Source organism: Homo sapiens, chromosome 3 (genome assembly GCF_000001405.40).
Source record: "Homo sapiens chromosome 3, GRCh38.p14 Primary Assembly".
Lineage (NCBI taxonomy): Eukaryota > Metazoa > Chordata > Mammalia > Primates > Hominidae > Homo > Homo sapiens.
Genome location: NC_000003.12, coordinates 146,921,578 through 146,926,129, shown reverse-complemented (window position 1 = coordinate 146,926,129; position 4,552 = coordinate 146,921,578). Strand labels below are relative to the sequence as shown.

At 34.7% G+C, this 4,552-nt stretch overlaps 1 long non-coding RNA gene across 2 annotated transcripts; it reads right to left on the bottom strand.

Annotated features, from left to right (window-relative positions):
- Positions 1 to 911: 911 nt before the first annotated feature.
- LINC02010 (long intergenic non-protein coding RNA 2010) lies at positions 912 to 4,207 on the bottom strand. Of its 2 annotated transcripts, NR_135560.1 has the most exons (3): positions 3,956 to 4,207; positions 2,806 to 2,829; positions 912 to 2,528 (listed from the first exon to the last, which is right to left on the bottom strand). It is a non-coding gene; the product is annotated as a long intergenic non-protein coding RNA 2010 (long non-coding RNA). The 2 variants fall into 2 exon arrangements; NR_135561.1 differs by lacking the exon at positions 2,806 to 2,829.
- Between the last annotated feature and the right edge of the window lie 345 nt (positions 4,208 to 4,552).

Here is a 4,552-nt window from a genome sequence, read left to right as displayed (position 1 = left end):
ACTCAAGTTATGGTAGTGGAATGGAGAAGACAGAATGGAAAGAATAAATCCTTTCTGGGTGTATTTAAAGGAATATGACAAGTGTACATTTTAGCAACATCTCTTATATGATTGTAGCATGAAGAGAATCCAACTTCTGCTGTTACACTTGAATTAGAATGATGACATGATCCATAGAAATAAAGTGAGAAGGGGTCGGCTCAACATCTTTATGTCACTTTTTCCACTTTGAAACCAGATTGGTATTTTTTTAGCTATTACACACTTTAGGCGAGATGACCCAAATTCTCTGTCCTCGATCTTTACTGAAAGAGGAACTCACTTGCTATGTTGCAAACCACATTTTAAAAGTAAATAGAAAGCTAAAATATTGTTGGAAACTAGATATCAATAGAAAATTAAGCAAAATAGATGTTATTATCTTTATGTGAAATTATTGCTAAACAGATAATGAAATAACTTAGAAGAAAAAGAGAGATGTAAATGATTCTGAGCACCATTTTGTACCAGATGGTCACCTGAGCATTTGTATAGCAAGCAAGGCAAACTACAGATAAGCCATATTGTTTGTAAAGGGGATTATGATAAAAATATTGCACAGTATTGTGAAATTTATAGCATTTAAAGTCTTATTTAATTGCTCCCGACAATAGCTATGTGATTAAGGTATTATTTTTCTAATTCATATACAGGAATGCAGAAAACTTTACAGATATGTTTTTACATATTATTTCAGCAAAATGTTTTCTTGTTGAATATGTAATCTAAAATACTCTGCATTTCTAAGTTGTATTATATATTCACTTTTGGTCAAATTTCTTACCATAGGAACACATCTCTAATATAATAGTGCAAATCAATGGAAAATATGATTCATTTAACAAAATTTTAATAAATGTATTGCAAGATTATATTTTTAAAAGTACGTTTTATCTGTAGTTAGATTTTTTTAAAAAAGTAATTTACATTTGATTTAAGGAGGACATTTTTTCTCATTAAGATACACTACTGACAAATCCACAAGACAATGTGTTTTGGGAGGCTAGGTGTATTAAATTATATATGGTCACTTAGGGAATTGTTCAAGGAAATACTAACAGTCACAGTATAAGCCCATAGGTATTATGGCAAGTACATCCATCATGTGAGAACAATTGTCATTAATAAAGCCTTATTGCCAACTACAAAGAGCTTTCAAAGCATTTTCCACTTGGATTATTGTCTTACAGTTTTCAAAGATTCACTTTCTGGCTTAGGAAATAAAAAAATAAATGTCAAAACCCAAAGTGTGCAGTTCTGAAACAAGTATTTAGATCTGACTGATCCTTGCTATAAGAACATAAGAAAAATAAGACATGTAGAAATGAGTTTAACTCTTCAAATACAGTAGATCAAATAGTCATTTGATAAAAAAGATATTTAAGAAAAATATAACACCTTTTTCCAAGAGCATTCATTGAGCACTTAATCTTATAAAACCTTATGACTGAGTTCTTGTCTCACTACTTCGACCTTCTATTTCTCCTATGTTATCATTTAAATTTTTGCAAGTTTTATTCAGACCTTCCCAGAATAATTGGAAGATTTCTGATTGTAAGAAATATGCATTAAATTTCTTTGAACATGAAGATTGTGTAGCAGAGTAAGTAATCGTTTGATAAATACACTTAATACAAATTCTTTTTCATCTATTTGAAAATTATTAAAGATTTTACTTGAATTACTAGCTAACATCCAAGTACTATCTTTGTACTAGGCACTGTGTTAAGTGTTTGGTGTGGGTTATCTAATTTATTCTTTAAAATATAGCTATTCATGAAATAATGCTACTAACAATATTGTTAGTATTCCCCATGAAAAGTAAGACATATAATTTGAGTAACTTATTTAGAACCCCACAGCTATTTAGGCAGAGAGATAATTTTAAATTCTGGAAATTGGATGCCAGAGTGTTATTATGACTTTATACCGAGTCCACTCTTTCTTAATTAATGCCTTAGCTTTCACATACATGAGAGTTTGTGAATTCAACTAATATTATAATTCAGCAAGGTGCAAAATGCATCCGTGGAATTAGTTTTCTGTGTGCTCCGCAGCATAGCTACAAGTAATAAGGGACTGTTCTGTACACTCACACAAGGATTCTGAATTTCATCCTGTGCTTTGAAACCCATAAGGCCTGGGCTTTCCAGTCTCCAATTTCATTACTAGGCCTGTCAGATGTAGCCATTCTACTCGGTGGGCCTACCATTCCTCATTCTATTTAAGCAGTTCTATGACAACAGCCACCTGCTCTCTGAACTTCATCTTCAGGAGGCCCAGGTTCCAACCGGTCACTGCTTGTGGTTGTTTAAAGATTCTTTCTCATTGACCACCACTTTCATATCTCTGAACATGGGTAGGAGTCTCAGCACTTTTCACTCCATTCAATTCAAAATATTTACATTCGTCTGAGTCTGTATTTTTAAATCTGATTTCTGTGTAACTTAGGGGTCTTCGGTTGCAGGAAACAGAAAATGACTGAGAAACTGAGAAGAAAAGAGAAGTAAAAAATAAGAGAGAAATGAGAGGAGATTTTTATTAGAAGGACATTGGGGTACCTCACCAAATTCAAGAAAAGCATTTTTTTAAAGACAAGGACATAGACTCTCCTGTTATCTCCTCAATAGTAACATGTGGCTTTTCTACTTGGTTTCTTACTATTAGATAACTCAAATCTTACTTAAATCTCAATCTTTTACCCTGGTCATCACTGATAATACTGAAATTTCAAGGACAAAGAATCTGTTACTGAATGTAACTCACTTTAGAGGTCCAAGGGGTGCAAGCCTGTTGAAAAGCAAAGAAAGAAATGTATTCATGTGAGAAACAATAGCTACCTAAATTCCCATACCATACTTTCTTTTAAAAAATACATGATTTCTAAAATGGCCCCCCTGAACATAACTCTTTTCTATGATGCGATCTTAAGTGGGCTTTTCCCTCTCAATGGGAGCTAACCCAAAGTCATGTCCAAAAGCTAAACATAAAAATGATATCACTGTTCTTTGTGTCTGATATCTCTGAGTGGCATCTATTTTCCTCTAGTTCTGTCATGGTTCTCTTGTGAGATTGTACAAAATATAGGCGAGCCACATACCTAACCCTCACCATTATCTCCTGTGTACAAGAGAAGAAAAAAAAAGAAATATTTTAATACATATCATATTTAATGATAATAATAATCACTTCAATACCCTTATGCATATATTACAATATTTCACTTATTGCTGTGTTAGGAAAAGGGAGGCTCAGTGGCTTTTGCTTTTACTTGGTACTGTAATAGCCTTTACTCTATGTACCAGGAAGCCAGTATGGAATTCTGCAATACGCTGTGATAGTGATTCAAACCATGAATAAAGGAAATATGAAGCTATCCTCAGAGTGGGGCTTGGACCACACAGAACTGATTGTGAGATTAATTTACTTTGAATTCTGTTTACCACCCTTAAGCCTTTAATATTGTTAAAAGTTTTGGTCTGCATACTCAAGAACAGTGTTTTATTGGAGCCAGTGCATGAAAATTATAATTAGCTCTCCTTTTCAGGTGCACAGTTACTTAGGAAAGTACCCATAATTATCTAAGGGAGATTAGGGAATGGCCCATATTACATGTATCCAACGAATAAAGGCAAATCAACCTTATGGATAAAAGGAGGACTAAGACTTCTAATCAAACTGTTTTCTTACTCACTATTGTTTGAGAATATTTTTCCCTTAGGGGACACATGCACTTTTTGATATTAAGATTCAAATAAAATTTAGAGGTAGACATCCCATCCCAAACAAACAAAACAATCAAACAAATAATTTCCTGTAAAGATTTCTATCCAGGAATACGACCGATTTTTTAGCACTAAATAGTTTTCTATTTATTACCGCATCTGTTATAACATTATAGAAATCTTGGACTTACAGTGGATCAATAAGTGAAAAAATTAATTTAAAAATTCATTATCAAGTTATCCAGCGGATGCAGGTTTATCCCGAATTGGCGTTCAGCCTGGGAGGATTCTTGGCTTCACTCAGGAAAGAATTCAAGCGCCAGCCAGCAGTGAAAGAAAGAAGTTTATTAGAACAACAGCATACAGCAAAATAGCTGCTCCGTAGACAGAGCAGGGCTGACCCAAAGACAGAGTTCCCGGGAGTAGCGGTGTGCAGCCGTATCACTGTCCCACAGAGCAGTGCTTCCTTATAGGCAGAGTGGCCCGGAGTAGCGGTGTACAGCAAAGTGGCTGCTCCATAGGCAGAACAGACCAGAGCAGCAGCAGCCCCAGCAGTGTACCCAAACAGAGCAGTCCAGAGGGGCAGTCCGGGTAGATTGCTGGCCAGCTATATTTATCCTTACTCTTAATTGTATGCTAATTAAGGGGCTGGTTTTCAGAATTTTATAGGAAAGGGGTGGGGAAATTCCTGAAACCATATAAGATAACTTCTGGATCGTTGTCATGGCATTTTTAAACAGTTATGTTTAAAAATAGCGCTGGTGGTCTTTAATCAGTGAAGGCAACTG